This window comes from Homo sapiens, chromosome 18 (genome assembly GCF_000001405.40).
Source record: "Homo sapiens chromosome 18, GRCh38.p14 Primary Assembly".
Taxonomy (NCBI): domain Eukaryota; kingdom Metazoa; phylum Chordata; class Mammalia; order Primates; family Hominidae; genus Homo; species Homo sapiens.
This window is the reverse complement of record NC_000018.10, coordinates 66,484,211-66,505,999: the sequence shown is the minus strand read 5'-3', so window position 1 is coordinate 66,505,999 and position 21,789 is coordinate 66,484,211. Positions and strand designations below refer to the sequence as shown.

At 32.9% G+C, this 21,789-nt stretch overlaps 1 protein-coding gene across 5 annotated transcripts in view; it reads left to right on the top strand.

The window, feature by feature from the left end:
- Positions 1-4,917, top strand: part of CDH19 (cadherin 19) — a 103,008-nt gene extending 98,091 nt beyond the window's left edge. For all 5 annotated transcript variants that reach the window (NR_073130.2, NM_001271028.2, NM_021153.4 and 2 more), the window contains one exon: positions 698-4,917. Coding sequence is in view for 4 of the 5 variants with exons in the window: in NM_021153.4 (NP_066976.1) it covers positions 698-1,188 (491 nt within the window). In the remaining variant the exon portion in view is untranslated. The remainder of the gene's footprint in view (positions 1-697) is intronic.
- Positions 4,918-21,789: the final 16,872 nt, after the last annotated feature.

The following is a 21,789-nucleotide window of genomic DNA, read 5'->3' as shown; positions in this document are numbered from 1 at the left end:
TTGGTGACTGAACAGTATTCCATTGTATCTCTCAACTAGCTGTGTCTTTCTAGCAATGTCATTTAACATCTGTGTGCTTCAGTTTTCTCATCTATAATAGGATATAATAATATAATGACTTTCACAAGAATAAAATCAATCAATAAATATAAAGCTTTTAGAAGAATGCCTGATGTATGCTTCATAGTCAATACATATTAATTTAGAAAATAATTATGCCACAGAATTTTGCTTCAATAGGGAACATCAAACTGTTCTGTTGTTCTGAACTACTATTAATATGAAGCATTGGCTACTAAAGTTGACAAACGCATTCAGGTTGCAAAGTTTTATTCTACTTTATTCTATTTTAATATTTGAGAAGAAACAGATTTTGAATGTTAAATTGTTCATCATCTAATATATATAGTTCACTATATATATTATATTATATATATATTAATATATATATTAATAAATATAGTTCACTATATTTTTATGGTTTTCTTTGACTCTAAGTCATCAGCCAGAAAAATCGTGATACATTCTTTTGTAATTTTGCAAGTCCCTTTGGCAAATTTTCAATAACAAATGTATCTTTTTGTTTTATAATCATAAAGTTTAAGCACTCATCTTGAGCTTGAAATGAGAGCAAAGACTGTAATGTTTATAATACTCTTTATTGTTTATTGATATTCTGATGTGCTTTCTTCATCAGGGTTTATTTTTTTGACTTTGGGTTTAAAACAACGGAGAAAACAGATTCTATTTCCTGAGAAAAGTGAAGATTTCAGAGAGAATATATTCCAATATGATGATGAAGGGGGTGGAGAAGAAGATACAGAGGCCTTTGATATAGCAGAGCTGAGGAGTAGTACCATAATGCGGGAACGCAAGACTCGGAAAACCACAAGCGCTGAGATCAGGAGCCTATACAGGCAGTCTTTGCAAGTTGGCCCCGACAGTGCCATATTCAGGAAATTCATTCTGGAAAAGCTCGAAGAAGCTAATACTGATCCGTGTGCCCCTCCTTTTGATTCCCTCCAGACCTACGCTTTTGAGGGAACAGGGTCATTAGCTGGATCCCTGAGCTCCTTAGAATCAGCAGTCTCTGATCAGGATGAAAGCTATGATTACCTTAATGAGTTGGGACCTCGCTTTAAAAGATTAGCATGCATGTTTGGTTCTGCAGTGCAGTCAAATAATTAGGGCTTTTTACCATCAAAATTTTTAAAAGTGCTAATGTGTATTCGAACCCAATGGTAGTCTTAAAGAGTTTTGTGCCCTGGCTCTATGGCGGGGAAAGCCCTAGTCTATGGAGTTTTCTGATTTCCCTGGAGTAAATACTCCATGGTTATTTTAAGCTACCTACATGCTGTCATTGAACAGAGATGTGGGGAGAAATGTAAACAATCAGCTCACAGGCATCAATACAACCAGATTTGAAGTAAAATAATTTAGGAAGATATTAAAAGTAGATGAGAGGACACAAGATGTAGTCGATCCTTATGCGATTATATCATTATTTACTTAGGAAAGAGTAAAAATACCAAACGAGAAAATTTAAAGGAGCAAAAATTTGCAAGTCAAATAGAAATGTACAAATCGAGATAACATTTACATTTCTATCATATTGACATGAAAATTGAAAATGTATAGTCAGAGAAATTTTCATGAATTATTCCATGAAGTATTGTTTCCTTTATTTAAAAAAAAAAAAAAAAAAAAAGAATGCTAGGTAATCTTCGTAGAAAACTAGAAAGTATGATAAACAACAGTTGGAGGAATCCATGGAAAATAGACGAGAAAATGTAAATAAGGCTTTCTGGGGATCACAGAACTTTTGTATGAATAAAAGCCTTATAAAACCAGCTCTGGCATATGACTAAAATATTCCTCTACTATTTTTCAATGTCATCTAATGCAAACGCTCAACCTTTTTAAATGGTTAATGTGAGAAAGGCACTGAATTAAGATATCTTAGTGTTATTTTATTTACTCAATTTTCATCTTTCACACTGTAAGAATAAAATGTTTTTGTGGTTAAGTTCCTGATACTATATAGAGATAAACTTTAAAACTTTAACACCTAGGATAATGTGGGTGATTACATAAATGTTTAAAAACATTTACCTTATATGGAAAGCAGATTTCTGACTAAGATGCCATGATTCATTCTAGTTTGATATTTTAAAACTTTGCCAAGAGCACTCTTTAAAACTGATTTCAAATTTGAACAGATACTTGGTGTATACAAATTAATCAGAGTTATATAGTATAAATTTGTATTATTTTTGATATTACAACTTTGTATTAAAAAGGAAAATATATTTAGGTGTTTGTCATAGATTTTTTTTCATATGCAACTCAAAACACATTCTTATGTCAAAATACAATAGCAAAATACAAGTCAATATTTACTCATAATTAAATGCAAACTTTATGAAACTGGTGGAAAGTGTGGAAAAATTTAAGTAAATTTTTACCTCTACTAAAAATTATTTAGACAACTTAAAGGAATACTGGATTCAAACTTCAGTTACTATTCACTGTAAATATTATGATCAACTGAACTGACTTACCATTCATGGGATAAAACATGATACAATTCTCAGTATTTGCTTTTCTGTTAAGAGCTTGGAATATGACTGATGCTTCAGTGTCATTTTTTTATTATTGAATATAAAATTAGGTGCAATAGATACATTTATTGTAGCCTTAAGAAGGAAATCAATGCTAAGCTGTTGGGCATAAAACTTTACAGTAACATTAGATAACAAGATAATAAAACACTTTAATTTTAATCGACCTTTTAAGAATGATCTTTATTATTCTATCCAAATCAAGGTAGACTTCAAAATTTATGGTTTGAACAGGAAGAAAGTAGTGAATACAAAATTCTTAAAATTGGTTCATATGATCATTTTTTTATTAATAGCATGTGAGACTAAGCTGAACCAAACTGGCCATATATGTTAAATCAAATAATTTGAGTAATTTTGAAATATTGATGAAGTAGTTAAATGGTTATAATATATTTTATTGGTACTTTGAAATTTAAACATCTATATCACATAATAAAGAAAGTTTTTCATCAATCTGAAACAGGCACCATTAAATTGGTGACACAAATATTATCATTTCACAAAAGCTTGAGAAAACCAGATTTGAAGTGAAATAATTTAGGAAGATATTAAAAGTGGATGAGAGGACATAAGATGTAGTCAATCCTTAACGCAATGATACCATTATTAGGAAAGAGGAAAAATACCAAACAAGAGAAAATTTAAAGGAGCAAAAATTTGCAAGTCAAATAGAAATGCACAAATCGAGAGAACATTTACATTTCTATCACATTGACATGAAAATTGAAAATGTATAGTCAGAGAAATTTTCATGAATTATTCCATGAAGTGTTGTTTCCTTTATTTAAAAAGAATGCTAGGTAATCTTAGTAGAAAACTAAAAAGTATGATAAACAACAGATGGAAGAATTCATGGAAAATAGACGAGAAAAAGTAAATAAGGCTTTCTGGAGATGACGGAAATTTTGTATGAATAAAAGCCTTATAAACAATGAATACATTTGGATAAACAACTCATTAAAATGCACATTAATGGAATACCTGTACAAATAGTTTTAATACTTGTGTCCAGTGGCACTAAAGAGATATATTAAAATAGATTCTGGTTGAGTTGATTATAAGATTGTCAATCATAGGATACACAGGGAAAGCACAGACACGATTGCTCATCTCTTTGGTAGTCTAAAATATGTTCCTTTTAACCACATCAAAAGATACTATCTGATTCTAATACAGAAGGTGCAACTTCCTAGGAATTATACTTTGTATTATATTCAATAATTATTTTATGTTTTGCATCACATGGGTGTTGCAAGAACACAGCTCTTAAACTAAAAAGGCATTACATTAAGAATTTATTTTTGTAAATTTTAATAAACTCTAAATTAATGCAAAATATTTATGAAAATAGCACAGCTTCACATTAATACCCACAGTACTTAAATATCTCCCTTAGTTGACTCACAGCTTTGTATGTAAGCTTCAAATTTTTAATGGTAAAAATAAGAAAATTAGGACTAGCGAACTGCTAGTTGTTCCCTCAGTGCATGTGCTTGAGCCTAACAGATCTTTGTTTGAATTAGTTACTTTCAATTAAGCGAACATATAATATTTGTTAAACTGCTTAATCTTTCCAGATCTCACTTTGTAAAATGACGTCCAATCAACCTATTTCACATGGTTGTTATGAAGAATTAATAATAAGATATGTAAAACCAGCAGCACCAATAGTGCCTGACAAAATATAACTGCTCAATAAATAACAGTGAATTATTATAACAACAGCTAATGGTATTCTATTGGAACACATGGTCTGTTTCTTTTCCAATTCTGAGTGATCTCAACAGCCTCACGGCACATTGAAAATAAAAGTCAACTTCCTCACCTTCCCCATAGGCCATGGACTTTCCCATCTCTACCCACTTGTGCAGTTTCTCCTCTTTCCTCTCTCCTCCTCAGTTACTAAAGCAATCTTCCTTCAAACACTTCTATTTTCCATTACATCACTTCATTCAGGTTGGTGATCAGCTGCAACTTCCTCAGAAAGACCACTGCTGCTTCCAGTGACCCTGGCTTTGTCTTGCTTTGTATTAGATTACTCAGCTCCCTGGTATTATTGTTGTCTTTATCGCTTATTAGAATGTAACCCTTAATGGGCAAGAAATTGTCAGTCTTGTTCATTTATCATCGTATAAAAAATGTTTCTAGCACACAGAAAGTGACCAATAAATATTTCTGGAATTAATGTAGTAATGAATCCAATCTATTTTACTTAGTGACTTGTAGAAATTCTTTTGGTTTCCATTGACTATTTTTATAGAATATTAATATGGAATTAAAGTATTTTTCAAAATGGGTTAGTACTGAGTAGTTAGTGGATACGGTAAAGATTTTTCAGAATCTTTCTAAAAATTACATAACTTTGGCATTTATCTTGCTTGAACTCATTGATGTATCTGGAGGAAAGATAGTTGATGAAGTTATACTGTTCAATCAAAACAGGTTATTAAATGATGGCTGTAGAAAGTCTTATATGAAAACATTTTCACAAAGTGTAAGAAATATGAAATCATGTGCCATGCATAAGAATCCTACTTCACATTTTAAAATACAACTTGGTAACAGATGCATTACACAGCTCTCAGGGCTACAAAAAACCTACAAGGTGGCTTGAAGATTTTTTATAGTCTATGGTATTTGATAGTAAAAGAAAGACAGGGAGATTAAGTAGACAGATAAATGGAGGAAAGGAATATGTGACTTTTTACATATTCAGATCTGTCTGTCTATATGGAAATTGTGATTTCCTGAAAGAAGGACTAGCATCCAATTGCAAGTAGTTCCTTGAGACCTATTAGAAATTTGTGCTGCCCTTTTTTCCTAGAGAGCTCTGAAGATGACTGGCCGATCCACCTGAAATAGCAGGAACGGGAGAGGGTAGTAACTGGGAACTGCCATTCCTAGCTTTTGACAGGGTGAAGCTGAATGAGTTTTACATAGCTTAAGGGACTGCAGCTGTAGAAATTTTGCACAGATGGAGGTGAGAGGGAGCTTAAGACAGTCATCCAAAAATACATTACATAGGTCAAGGAACAATAGAGATCTCACGTCCTTGAGATGTGTCTCTGAATCGTCCATGCATGTGCCCCATGACAGAGGACCAGCCTTCAGATGCCTGTGGTCACAGAGGTCACTGGCTGTGAGGTCAGGATGGCACCAACATGTTTATTGTGCCCCCTTTTTCTCATATCTTCCTTCCTACCCAGACCTCAGAGGATCAGAAGCAGCAGAGGTCTGCTCCTCTGGGAGAGGATAGGAGTTAGATTTTATACTGGATGTGAGGTTAAGGTCTTCTAGTAAATAGCATAGATTTTAAAAGATATTTGAAAGTGACAAGAAGCTGTGGAAACTGTCTGATATTTGGCCAAGGTAAGCATCAGAAAAAATGTCCCAAACTGAATAAAAGAATTCATTTTCATGATAATTCCCACCAAATTACATAGTAATAGGCTGGAAACATAATAAATCAATTTGGCATTTCATATAGTTTAAATACTAATTTGAAATTCACTTTTTTAATATAAACCATAAGCTAACTATACAAAGAAAATATAATTTATAGTGTCCTTACAACATCTTAGAGCATATTAAAATAGTTTACACAGCTTTATTTCAAGCAGTTCCTTTGTATTTATTCATTTTAATATTTATAATATACGTTCTATTGACTTCCACAGTGCTAAGTGATTTATCTCAGCTACAAATAAGGCTGGGCAGGAAAACTACAATATTTTTATGATTATATAGAGGTTGAGATCAATACAATGTTTTATCTATAAAAGGGAGAAAAGTTGGTGGATAGTATTCACACGTGGTAATGTTAACATTTCCATAAGATTACCTAGTTGGTATGCTAGTGAAAATAAGTGGTCTATGAAGTTCACTTTAACTTTTTGTTGCTAACATACTTTGCAGTGTAACCTTGAGTAAGTTATTTAGTATTTTTTCTCTTGATACCTTCACCTGTACAACGGAGATATTAAGAATACGTAAGTCATAGGATTGTTGTGGGAACTAACTGAAATAATATTAAAGAATGTAGAATATTTCCAAACGTGCAGCAAACACTTGACATTTTTACCAGTTGTTATTATTGTCAAAATAGGAATCATTATATTATTAATTTTACCTTTAGGAAGGTTTATAGACCTATCCCTTTTACTGAAGTACGAGAATTAATATGGAGAAGAAGAGAGAAGAAAGGGAATGAAATCAGGGCAATAATTATCTTCCTGTTACTTACTGCCTCCTCACCCTGACCCTCCCAGGGTAATTTTCTAATACCAAAGGAAGAAATTAATTGCTCAACTTATACATTATGTATGAGGTGCTCCGATGAAAATTAATCATTCTATGGCATTTATTTTGGGAAAAAAATGCTGGAAAGTTAAGTAGTAACCAACCTTTTTGTGACAATGTTCCCTAGGTATAGATATTTCAGGAGAAATCCTGTTGAAAAAGAGGAGTTGGTTTATCTCATTTTGTAAGTAATAAAGAAAAATATATTCCCATATTATTTTAGAACTACATAGAAGAAACAAAATAAATATACTAATAGCACTAACAGATAGCTTCTCAAACATGTTGTTAATATCTAAGATCTGATGACCGTAGTTGTAATTTTATACGAAGAAATAAAAATTAAATTACAAGCAGATTGTCACCTCTGAAAATGCAAGATGAAAAGCTGCAGCCTTGACATCCCTATCTGCTTTCCCCTGTCCTCGTGCTTTTTAAAAATAAAAATTAAGGTCACATTCCCATATGTTCTCTGATGAGTATGTTTTTACCATCTAGCCTTCGCATATCTGAGCCAATCTTAGGTCTCAGACAAGTTGTAGGCAATTGTCCAGCTAAAACTGACACCTCAGTTTTCAGAAACATTTTTCTTATCCCAGATGACCTCTATGTTATTCTGGAAGCTTGCTTTGTAGAAATGATTATCTATTTTCAACTCTATATAAAACATACATGTTAACACTTGACATATTCAGTTTATATAGAGAGATTTCACCAATAATTTAAAAATATTTTAAGTTTTACTAATTGTAAAAATAAAAGGTTGATATACCATACAGTGTATATATTCATAGTATATTCATTATCAAACACTATTAAATTAAGTTGTCCCACTAATACTGTTTTCAACAGCAAAAATCTCTCTCTTTTTTATAACATATTATCTACAGCCAGGCTTGTTACTTTATGTACCTTTTTGCACAAAGACCAGAGAAGGAAATTTGTACAAAAGTGCATACTAGGAAAATGTGTGAACTGAGAAAATTCTAAGTTTTCCTCATGCTTGTGTTGTCAACCCAAATATCAAGTAAATAACAAGGAGCAAACTTTATTTGCTAGCAGCATCTATTACACTAGTAGCATCTACTGAGTCTCTCTAAGTTGAGTTCTATGTAATAAACCCCAAATAAAATCTTAAATTAATTATCTGTGTCCTGGCTGAAAAAGGAATGATGAGAAACACTTGGAGGTGGAGTCAGGGGCCAGGGCGAGAGGTCGGTGCTCAGGTGAGACTGGTTGCTGAGCTCAGCTCCCATTCACACCTTGCAAAGCTGTAGCTGCTTTTACGTGGTCCTCATGGAGTTGCGCTGCAGCTCGAAAGAAGAAAACATTCGTAATAGGAGGACGTTGGTTTTTTCAGTTTTTAATGAATATACCCAACAAATCTGTTCTAAATCTCTCTCTCTCATCTTATTCTAAGTGTTTTTAAGGTACTACTTCATTTAACGAGGTAGGTATCTTTATTACCCCCAAGATACTGATAAGGAAACCAACACACAGAGAGTCTTTGTATTGTGCCCGAGGTCGTACACCTAACGGTGGCAGAGTTGAAGCTTAAATCCAGGCCAACAAGTTCTAGATTCCAGGGTTTTGTCCATTTACAGCATACTGGCTGTGCTGCCCTTGACACAGGGAGATTATGGGGATTAAATTCAAGATGAGATTTTGGGTTGGGGACACAGCCAAACCATAACAATTGTCATAACTCAAAATTAACATGCTGAAAAGCATATCAACTACTCACTTTTGAAAGAGTGAGTATGGTTACAACCTATCAGACTGAGATGTTGATTTTCTTAAATTCATAGTTTTTAGAAAAGATTTGCATTTATACAAGCAATAAATCATGACCAGTTCTCAGAATCATTGAAAAAAATATTTTTTTCAGTATATCTTCTAAAGCAGTCCTTTTGAAGCCTAAATAAAACAGAGTTCCCCCAGAAGTAAGCTGGTCTTATTACTTCAGAAAACCTGTAATACACTATATATGCTATTATATAAGGAATATGTATATATATATATATATGAATAAACCATATTTATATTTTTATTTATAAAACTTAAATCCAGGAAAACAAGTTCTAGATTCCAGGCTTTTGTCCATTACAGAATAATGACTGTCCATTTGCACCACCTCATTCAGTTAGTAACATAGGGGCTTTTGTTACTTATGGTTGCCAAAGTTTTTTTCTATTACTTTAGATGTTAATACTGTATAAATATTATATATTCACATAGATGGATTAAGGAGGGGAATAGCGTTCTTTTTTCAAAAATAAATCCATCTGTCCATTTATGTCACTACTAAGTCTGAGTTTCTATTATTAGGTTACATGTCACATATTGTATTTATTATTATTATTATCATTATATTATTCATTATGGTGCCAATCAACCATAGAAATAACACACTCAGAATATCCAAAGGTACAGAAAAAAATTGTGTGTATATATATATATATATATATACAGAAAACATATATATACACAGATCATATATATATATATAAATCATATATATATACACAGAAAACATATATATATATATAACCCATTTTATTTTGGACCTTCAAACATACATTTTCAAATATGGCATTGATTTTAAGGTGGCTAACTTATGACAATACCAGTCAACTTAATTGGTGTTTTTCACTTGAGTCCATATTTTAAAATGTCTTGTGTTTCAATTTAGGGCCCAAGCAAATCTCTGAAATAATAAACATGTAAAGGGCAAAAACAAGAAAAAACACATCAGGAGTTGCATAACTAGACACATCTTCAAAGGACAAATATGGCTAAGTGGCTGCTTTCTAGTCTATGGTAGAAAGCAAGCAATGTAAAATCCTTTCTTGGTAATATTTTTGGAGAAAACATTACAGCATGGTGACAGTTATTAGCATTGTATCATTACTGTGATACTAAGTAATTAAAATGTCTTGTCCCTACTGCTGAAATGCAGCTTGACCATGGTCTGGCAAAGGCAGAGTAGACAAGTCATCCGCATGATCTCCCCCAGCAGGGGGTGCCTTCTACCTATTTTTGCTTAGGTGGCTGCATATGGGCCTTTATGTAGTTTGTGCCGAGACAAGCATTTAGTATTACCAGCTCAGATGAAGAGAATGTGATTTAATAGGTATACAGAAGTAGTATCGTTCCACACAGAATTTTATATCATATTAATTTAAATGCTAAATTTCTTATGGCTTTTATTTTTTATGTTATTTGTTTGCAATATTAGTCAAAAATAATTGATAGTTTTATTAAAATGTATAATGATAACTAGCACTGAGAGTCATTAGACTTTTATGAATGAATCATGTTAGCCTATTTAGTGAATATTCCAGATTGCAGAAGAGTGTCTGCCATTGTGAATCGTGTGCTACCTATTATGTGCTCTCTTGTCCTGATAAAACTGGTTGCACAAAGCCTGTGGAACCTTGGGGTTTGAACTCAAAGAGCATTATGGAGGCAGAGCTATTCATTCCATGCTGGCTCTTGTTTTGCCACGTGCTGCAATATTCCAAAAGCCAAATGCTGCTTTCTATGGCATGTACACTCATCCCTGAGGCAGATTGCAGTCCCAAATTTCCCTTCCTTAATCATTTCTACTTATTTTTATACTCTACGTAGCATTAAGTAAATCAGAGTATTCCCTTATGATTTCTAATTGCTTTTCTGCAAGGTGAAATGCTTAAATGTATTAAATATGTTGAACATGGCAACAGTCCCACTGAGAGACATAAGAATTTCAACATCATCATCACCTTTATAAAGCAATTCCATATGCTTCTCTTCTTCCAGGCAGTTCCTTAATTCAAGTAGAAATGTTCTGATATGTGGCTTTTACAATTAGCCTTTGCCTTAAGACATTGCCCCAGATTTGAGAAGATCAGAATAATAATGAATTTTTAGATAGCATACCTATAGTGTTTTGCATTAATAATAAAAGAATCAAGAGATATTGGCTTGGAATACTCAAAAAATAGGTAGATATTCTCTGGAGTACTATAGTGTATGGCTTTCTTAATATTTTCAAAAGTTAAGTCTCATATAGTTAAATGAGTATTAAACCACTTTGTAAGACAATATGTCTCCAAATTGTCCCTCAACTACTAAAAGTAATATGATAAAAATGCAAATTTTAGAAAATCTTTTGTTACTCAAGCTTCAAAATTCCTTTTTAATATCATGAAATAGCTATAAAATGTGGTATCGACCTGATTCCTATATGGTTTCATATTTTAGGATGATTTGGTTCTAATATAGGCAGTTGTGAGATAAACACACAAATACATGAATGCACAAGCACACAGACATTTTAAAAGATTCCTATATGGTTTCATATTTTAGGATGGTTCTTATGTGGTTTCATATTTTAGGATGACTTGGTTCTAATACAGGAAGTTGTGAGATAAACACAAATACATAATCACACAAACACACAGATAGACATTTTAACAGTATTTCCCATTTCCTCATCACAACTCTATGAGGTAAATAAAGAAAATTTCTGTACGTGCATATGTGTATACCGAATGGGAAGAAATCACACCATAAGATGGAGACTTCCCTCTGACAGATTCTCGTCCCAGCCTCTTTCTAATTTAAATAAGGCCAGCACTCATATTCAAGTTTCATTTATTCATCCGATTAGTGCATATTTATTAAGTATCCTTTATATGCCAAGCACTTCAGTAGATGCTGGGAAAACAAACAAAAAAACACAACACTTTTCATTACCAAAAAACTATATTCAAAAGATGGGAGTGCATCAAAATATTTTTCACAATTGGAATGCTTTTAGAGGTAAATACAAAGTGGGTTAGGAAAATCGAGGAGCGATCCTCCCAGTGGCTACTCAATCCCAGTGGGGGGGACCAGCGGAGCTGTGTGGTGGGAAAAAGCTTAATGAGGAGCTTAGGAGTTGGTCATTGACATGATCTTTGCAGACATGATACTGTGCCTCATGCATATTTACCTACTCCATGGTGGAATTTCTATGGATGTTAGAACCTTGTTCAGCTTGCAGGTAAATGAGAATTACCTCAAAGGTAGGTCAAACCTTCAGGTAGTGAATCTCATTTATTGGGCTATAAGTTGATGGCCAAGCAAATGCAAAAACTAATGGCAGGAAGCTTGGTTACATGATAGGGAGAGAGGACACTGTGCTATACCATTCTACGGGTGCCATTCACTTTGCAGGGAAGGTTGTATAGTATTTGACGTGAAACAACTCCAACCACAAATGTTTACCTCCCAGGAAAATTTTACTATGCTTAATTTTTAAAAACAATTTTAGATTTACAGAAAAATTGTTGATAGTACATAATTCCCATACCCACATACGATATACTCAGTTTCCCTAATGTTAATATTTTACAATAGTATAGTACATTTATTACAATTAATGAACCACTATTGATACTTTAGTATTAAAGTCCATACTTTATTCAGACTTCCTTAGATCTTAACTGTTTTTTTTATTTCTTTTTTTTTGGTTCAATTCATCTGTATCTAATGTCTTTTCGGTTCCAGGATACCTTGTTATTTTCAGTGTTTAAGTCTCATTGGGATCCACTTGGCTGTGACGGCTTCTCACGGTTTTATTTATTTATTTTATGACTTTGACAGTTTTGAATAGTACTAATAAAGCATTTTGTAGAAATATTGGGATTTCACTAATGGTTTTCTAAAGATTATGATAGGCTAATAGGTGTTTGAGAGGAAGAACACAGAGGTAAATTGCCATTTTCATCATATCACTTCAAAACTACATACTATCAACATGGTTTATCACTGCTAATATTGACCTTGTTTACCTGGCTAAGACAGAGGTTGTTATATTTCTCCACTCTCAAATTACTCTTTTTTCCCCTTTTTCATATATTAGTCTTTGAAAATAAGTAACTATGTGCAGCCCCCACTTAAGATGTGGGGGATTGTGCTTCCTCTCATTGAGATCAGAGTACCCACATATTTTTTCAGATTTCTTTTGCAAGGAATATTGATCTGTTTTCCTCATTCGATCATTTATTTATATCAGTATGAACTCATGAATATTTACTTTATATTTTGGGGTTATAATCTAGTAGTAGTTTTTTCTGTTGCTCAAATTGTTTCAGCTTTGGCCATTGAAAGTCCTGTGTCTCAATGGCATACCCTCATGATTGTGTATAAGATGTGTGTGTGTCAACATTAAGTGTACAGAATTAATATTGGTGTTTCTAATTATAGTTCACTAGGTCATGGATGATTCTAGCCTTCTACACTTGTTATCTTTAAGCTTCACTCCAACAGTGAGAAACCTGATTTCTAATATCTGCCATCCATCATATCAGGATTGTTAACCAGTACTCCTGTTGGACAAAACTTTATCACCTAGATAACAGGGCTTACAATTTTCTTTCACCTTTATTTTTACAAAATCCATTCATTTACAAAATTACTTAGGTCAGCAACTCTCCCCCTGAGTGATATTTTTCATTCATTTGTAACAAGTTACATTGTTTTGTCATATTTTTATTAACCTATATTAAATTTCATATTGTGGTATAAAATTCAACGATATTTGGCAAGTGCCTAGTGTCAGGTGTCCTCAACTACAGTATCATATTTAGTAGTTTTATTTTCCTGAAACATTCCCTGTGCTTTATCTATTCAACCTTCCTTCCCCTCCACCAAAAACTAGAAAGCCATTGATCATTTTACTTTTCTCTATACTTTTGTCTTTTCTAGAATGCCATATAATTTGAATCAGACAATATGTAGCTTTTGTAGTTGAGAAGGTTTGCCTGTGTCCCCACCCAAATTATGTGTCAAGGGCAGGGCCAGGTGGAGCTAATTGAATGGTGGGGGTGGTTTTCCCCATAGTGTTCTCATGATAGTGAATAAGTGTCATGAGACCTGATAGATTTGTAAATGGGAGTTCTCCTGCACAAGTTCTCTTGCCTGCTGCCATGTAAGACATGACTTTGCTCATCCATTGCCTTCTGCCATGATTGTGAGGCCTCACCAGCCATGTGAAACTGTGAGCCCACTGAACCTCTTTTTCTTTATACATTACCCGGTCTTGGGCAGCTTGAGAACAGATTAATATGGTAGTCTAGCTTCTTTAACTTAGCAATGTACATTTAAGTTGCCTCCATCTTTTCATGGCTTGAATGCTCATGTCTTTTATAGCTGAATACGAATTCACTACATGAATGTGCCACATTTTGTGGATCCATTCACCTATTGAAGGACATTTTGGTTTCTTCCCTTTTTGGTAATTATAAATAAAGCTGATATAAATATTTCTGTGTGAATTTTTGTGTGAACATACATTTTCAAATTAGTCAGATAAATACCTAGGAACATAATTGCTTGATCATACAGTAAAACTATATTTAGCTTACTAAGAAGATGCCAAATAGTCTTCCGAAGTGGATATACCATTTTGTTTCTTTTTTAACTTTTTTTTTAACCAGTCAAGGAAAACAGTGGGGGTGGAGAAGAAACTAAAAGGAGGTAGCATTTTGAATTCATATCAACAATGAATAAGAGTTACCCTCACTCTACATCTTCATAAGCAGTTGGTATTGAGAATTTTTGGATTTTAGCCATTCTAATAGGTGTGTAGTTGTATCTCATTATTATTTCAGTTTGTGTTTCGCAATAATGAATTACGACATTCTTGTCATATGCTTATTTGCCATCTGTATAGCTTCTTAGGTGAGATGTCTATTGAGAATGTTTCCTCATAATTTAATTGGGTTGTTTTTCATATTATGGAGTTTTAAGAGTTATTTGTATATTGGATAGAAAAACTTTATCAGATATAATTGTCAAATATTTTTTCCTGGCTTGTGGTTTTCTTTTAATTCTCTTAGCAGTGCTATTTACAGGGTGGAATATTTTATTCTAGTAAAAGATAACATTTATTTATTTATTTATTTATTTATTTATTTATTTTTACTTCATAGCTCATGCTTTTGGTGTCACATCTAGAAATCATTAAAAAAACAAAATATATAGATTTTTATATAATATTTTTTTCTCAAAATTTTATAGTTTTAGGCTTTATATTTGGGTGTATCATCCATTTTGTGGTAATTTTTGTGACTGGTGTAATGTCTGTCTGGGTTTATATTATTATTTTCTTGCTAGCATACACCAAATTGTTTCAACATCATTTGCTGAAAAGAATATTATTTCTTCATTTAATTCACTTTGATACTTACTCAAATATTAGTTGACGATATTTGTTTGGGTCTGCTTCTGGGCTGGCAATTCTGTTCCATTTTTCCATGACAGTACCATGATTTCTTGATAACTGTAGCTTTAAAACAAGACTGAAACTTGATAGTGGGAATCCTTCATAGCTTACTTTTCTTCAGTATGTGTGGGCTATTCTAAATATTTTGCTTTCCATAGAAAATTTAGAGTAGTTTGTCTATATCTACCAAGTAGTTTTCTTGGGTTTGTATTGAAATTGCATTGAATCTAAAGATCAAGTTGGAGAGAATTGACAAGGTTGTCTTCCATTCCATGAACAAAATTATCTGTCAAATTATTTACTTATTTAGATCTCCTTGGATTTATTTTATCAGAATTTTGTAGATTTCCATGGATTTTTGATTTTCTAAAGATTCTTATTATGGGTTTCAATTTTTTGGTTGCTAGTATAAATGTAAATGCATTTCAAGTTTGATTTCTGATTGTTTAGTATTGATATATAAGCAACCAATTGACTTTGGTATGTTAACCTTGTATCCTGAAGCCTTGCTATACTTTCTTATTTGTTTCAGGTTTTTGCTTGTTTGTTTTCAACTGTCTATGATTTTCTAAATACGCAATGATGTCATCAGCAAACAAAAAACAAATACATTATTTCTTCTTTCCCAATCTGTACACCTTTCATTTTACTTTCTTGTATAATCACAGCAGCTATGAATTCCAATATTATGTCGAATGGGAATGGTGAGAGGAAATACCTTTGCTTTTCCCCAGTTAGTGTAAAAAAGTCCAGTTTCTCAGCATTACCTGTGTTGTTAGCCATAAAGCTTTTATGATATTCTCCATCAAGCTGACAAATTTTTCCTCTGTTTTGCTAAGAGTTTTTATCATGAATAGGAGTTGGATTTTGTAAAGTACTTCTTCAGCAACAATTGCTATAATGGTTTTCCTGTTTTAACTTGTTCATGTTGTAGAAGACATTTATTGATTTTCTAAGGTTGAACTAGCCTACCATAGTTGGAAAAACTCCTGACTAGTAATGGAATATAATACCATTATACAGTCATCCCTGGACATCGATGGGGGATTGGTTTCAGGACTTCCCCATACCCAAATCCGTGCACACCCAAGTCCCACATCTGACTCTTTGTATATGTAAGTTTCTCATCCATTGAATATATATTTGTGATTTGCATTTGGTTGCAGATGTGGAATCCTCTGATATGAAAGGCCGACTATATTTATTGCAAAAACTGTGCATGTAAGTGGAATCATACAGTTCAAACTCGTGTTGTTTGGGTGTCAACTGCACCTTGTTTTGCTAATACAGTTGTCTCTCATTATCCATGAGGGATATATAAGTTCCTTATATAAAATGTTGCAGTATTTGCAAATAAGTAGAAATTCATTGATGAGAATAAGCATCAATAAGTAGCCCTGGGAAATTTTAAAAGCATTAATACCTGGTTATAAAATTTCATAAATCAATCATTGACATATGAATATAAACGAACAAAAAACTTAAAACCTCCTTATGTGGTAAATAAGGCATATGTAGGAAAATGATTCTACTTGGTTCACTTATGTTTCTGCATACTTTGTAACAGAAACATTGATTCTTTTCTGTTCTGAATTATCTTTTCAAAGATGTGTTATAGCACATTCTTGGAAGAGATTGTGTTTCAGTCAAGAGCAAAGGTTGAGTTTGTAGTCTTAGAAGGCACGATAGCATCTCCCATTGGCAGAAAAAATAGTCATGCTTACTGTCTAATATAAAAGATTCAAATTTCCTAAACTAAAACTAAGCTCTTAAATTCAGATTTCCTTTTCTGAAATGCAATCCCATGAATGTGTAGGTGTCATTTAGAGCATTATGTCACTGAGAAATTATGGTGGGGAACAGGCACAAATTCTGACACTGTTGTTACTACTCTTAAAATGGGTAAGGAAGGCTGTTGTTTCTGACCTTGGAATCTTGTGTCTTCTGCTAGTGTTTATAAGATTGTGACAGATTAATTTGTTGGCTGGCAAGAGAGTAGAATCACAGCATAATAAGGCAATGAAGAACCTTATAAAATCAATTAGTTTGTAAAATGTTAAACTATGTGATATATTTTAACTTGTGTAAAAATATTTAATACTATATTGATATGGTTTGGCTGTGTCCCCACATAAATCTCATCTTGAATTGTAGCTCCCAATTGTTGTGGGAGGGACCCAGTGGGAGGTAATTGACTCATGGGGGTAGGTCTTTCTTGTGCTGTTCTCGTAATAGTGAATAAGTCACATGAGATCTGATGGTTTTATAAAGGGGAGTTTTCCTGCACAAGCTCTATTCTGTTTTCTGCCACCATGTGAGACGTGTCTTTCACCTTCTGCCATGATTGTGTGGCCTCCTCAGCCACGTAGAATTGTGAGTCCAATAAACCTCTTTCTTTTGTAAATTGCCCAGCCTTGGGTATGTCTTTGTCAATAGTGTGAAACGGACTAACATATACACACATATATATGTACATACATGGGCTAGTACAACCTAGATTCGATTGAATTAACTAAGAAAACAACACAATTCTTAACTTTTTATTATTTTTTCATTAAAAATTGTTTTTTCTTTTCTTATTTTCTTAGAATTAATGAGTGGCTCAGAGAAGACTCCCAAATTTTTTTTATCATAATATACACTCTAAAATTTAAATCAGCACGGCCATCTTCCTAAGTGATATGTTTTCTCTAATACATTTAAATCTGATTTAAAAATCACCATTATAAGTATGGTTATATATACATTTATTTAAAATAATTACACTATTAATAATGAAGAGACAACACCACAAAACATGCATAATTCTTAGGATAATGTACACACTTTGGGCCTGACTTTTATAGGCTTCCATTACTGTTGTGTTGTAATTGGAAATTGTTTGTGGCCCTTGTGAATTCCAGGGCAGCAGTCAGCAAATCTTTTTTTAAAAAGAGTCAGATATTACATATTTAAGGCATGCTGTGTATGCGGTCTCTATGGAAACTATAAAACCCTGCTTTGTAGTATAACAGAACCAAAGATGATTCGTCAATTAATAGGCATGGTTATGGTCCAATAAATCCTTATTCATAAACTCAGATAGCTGGCCCACCAGCCATAGTTCTCTAACCCCTACGATATTGTTTGGAAATACAATACACCTACATATATAGTTTGGTGCTCTAGTCTTTTAAGTAATGATTTATTTTCAATGTCCTGAGAGTTAAACAATATGATACAGAATTTGCCTTGATTATGCTCTGGAGGGTGGGTTCTGGTACTGACTCTATCAGTTACAGGCAGGTAATTTAAATCCCCTACTTCAGATTTTTCATGTGCAAAATCAATTACAGGAAGATCTATCTGAAAGAAGAGGTTAGAAAGGAGAAAAACCAATTAGGTTTTCACAACCTGCTTATTCATATTTTAATATCTTTCTAGGAATTCATTAAAAACATCTGCTTAATAAACCTGGGATGATTTTGAAGATCAAATTAGAAAATGTACCTGAAAGTATACTATAAATGATGATACTTAATATGTAAACTTTTATTATTATAACTAGTAAGTGTATTATGTTCCTTATATCTAGCTAAGTGCTATCTGACCCTCTGATTAGGTATAGTCCCATAGCTCAATGGACAATCAATCAACAGATCAGTTGATCAACAATGCCATTTTTATCCTTGATTTTCTGGTATTTTCACTTCTTAAAGAAGATGCTTCTTTACTACTGGTTTTTCAGTCAGCTCTGCTTTAACTTAGCTTGGTTAAGAGAAGACTACATGACTTTGAAATAACCTAGATTTTTAGCATATAACTCCACATTTCACCCATAATTTCTCCCAGTGCAGCCATTTCTTTGAATGGACACTTTCAGTGGAGTGATTATCATATACAGTACTTCTCATAAGATACAGATCTTCTTTAAGTAGTGGCCATCCCTGTCATTTCTTTAAAGCAAAAGCCTGTAGATCATTTTTCTTATATAATTTAACAGTGAAGTGGGTTTAATGCTTTACTAAAGAATTATGGGAATTTTTCTAAAACATGAATTTGTCAGGATATAACTCTAGTGTCTTTATGGGCAATTTTATTTTGAAACATAGTCCAGTGTGAAATCAGTCTACTTGACTTTAAAATTAAACTAAGAAAGCATATTCTGAAATAATTTTAAAGCACTGTCTCTATCCACATGCCCTTTTTCTGAAACTAGTAAATGCATCAAGAGGTACATTTAGAAATGGGATTAAATGCAAGTCACTTCATTTTCAGAGTCCCATAGTGACACGTTGCAGGACACATGAAGATACAGTGGTTATTTGTCTTTTTTATCACTAGTTGGCTTAGATTTTTTATTCATCTCTGTTACTCCTTTCTGAATTGATCCTAATTGATCATGCCAAAAAGTTATCTCTTTAATAATCACAGAACATAATACAGAGCTGTGTGCTTAATAAGTGATCAATGAAATCATAAATTAGGCTCTTAGGATAGGTATAAATTATCCTTACTAAATTCACTTATCCAAAAAGAGGAATGGTTAAAACTGTGCTAAGAGAGACCATTGCTCTTTTTGGGTCATAGACACCTTCTATTTCAAGATAATAAGAATTAAATGAACTGCAGCAGCCTGAATGTTATCATGCATTTATGGTGCATGAATTTACACCAACATTATTTTTAGAGAGCCTATGTCAAACTTGGGAAAATGTGCCAAGCAGGTGAAAGTTTCTCTATGGCTTCTTATAAATTAACTAAAGATTTGGATTTTACAAGTGTAAAAAAAAAAAAACTTAGTAAACTGGCCCCCAAAAAATCACAAGATGAAGAGAATCTTTAAGAGTATACAATCTATTCTTTCAATTTCTCAGATTTATTACATTTGATAATATGATGACATCTTCTACAATTTAATTGAAGTCATGGAAAATTTGAAAACATAAAATTTCATATTAGTCTTATATCAAAGATCATTAGCATCACACCTTATCAACTGGAGAATTCAATTTAGGGACTTCCATAAACATGTAATACACTTTGTACAAACACTATCATAGAACCCATATTTCTCAGAGGTATCTACGAAAATATCCTGAGAAATACTGTGAAGGATTTTATTGTTCTTAAAATCCAGATGCGTTATTTCCTTACTCTATTTCCTAATCTAATATTTGCTAAACATAAATTACAGGGTACAGTAATGTATACATTTAAGTTTGCTTTTTATCACTCTTGGTAAGTCAAATGAGATAAAATTTAATTTAGGAAATTAAATGCATAAAATTATTAGAAGATTCCATTTTTAAAAGTCTAGGAGAAAGTTTACTACATAGTTTCCATTTGGTTATCAGGGATTAGAAAGTTACCAGATTTGCAGGAAAATCTCTACGATCACAGATGTCTATAGCACTTGACAGGAAATTTACGGAAAAAAATAATAAAGCCTCAAAGGCGTAGAATATTGCTTCCTTCGATGTCCATGGTCTGCTTACCGTTACTGGAATAATCAGTTTTGTTTTTTAATTTTTCACCTTCCAGAACTCACAGAACTTCCTCTTCTGGTAGAGTTAAAATTAAAATAATGAGAATGGAGGGGAAGTTCGGCCCATTTCTGCCATCAAGCTGTCAGCAAGAAAAATAGAAACTACTCTTTCCTGAAGATAGGTATTTACTATAGGAAATGATACACCAAAAAATCCTTTTGAATGCTGAAGAGGTCATGGTCAAAAAAAATATTGCTAGCTCTCAAATTCATTCTTTGATTTTTAAAAAATCATTAATTTGCAAAAATACAAGAAAACTTCTGACACTAATCTCAACTGCCTATGTCACCAAACAGGGAAATTTTCATGGAAATACTAAAGAGCTGCACAAATTAATATCTGCCAAAAACCATGCACATGCCTGAGGCTATTGAGGAAAATTAATGGGTTTTCTTCTCTTCTGCCTTCCAAATTGGCTTTATTTCTCTGCCTTTCAAACTTTTCACCAGCAAAACTTAACAAGAAACTTGCTGGAAATGCTTCCTGTCCCTAAGATGTCAGGAAGTGCTAAGAGATGATGGGCAAGATTGTTGGTTAAAATATATCATTTTCTCTGTTTGTTGTCACCCACATTCAATCCATTATCAAGTTCTGTTGAGTATACCTCTTAAACAGATATCAAATTTATTCAGTTGTCTCTATGTCTACCATTATTATCCAATTACAAGCCAACATTCTTACAAGGACTATTGCAATGACTCTTAACTGGTCTCTAAATACTTCTAATACTAGATTTGTCTCCTTCACATTTGTTCAGCTGCCAGAGTCATTCTTCTAAAGTGCTTATTGCAATATGTCATGCCACTACCTAAATTACTTTATGTCTTACTCTGCATTTAAATAATATCAAACTCCTCAGCATAGCGCCAGCAATAAAAAAAATTAACATTCATTAAGTAGTTACTATGTGCAAGAAATATACCATGCACTGTCTATTTGGTATCTCATTGAAGCATTAGAAATACCATGGGAGGTGGATATCTTTATTATGTCCATTTTGTCAATAATAAGTTGAAACAAAAAGTGATAAACAACTTATGGCCACTCAGCAAGTTAATATGAAAACTCGTGATGGTCTGTGCTG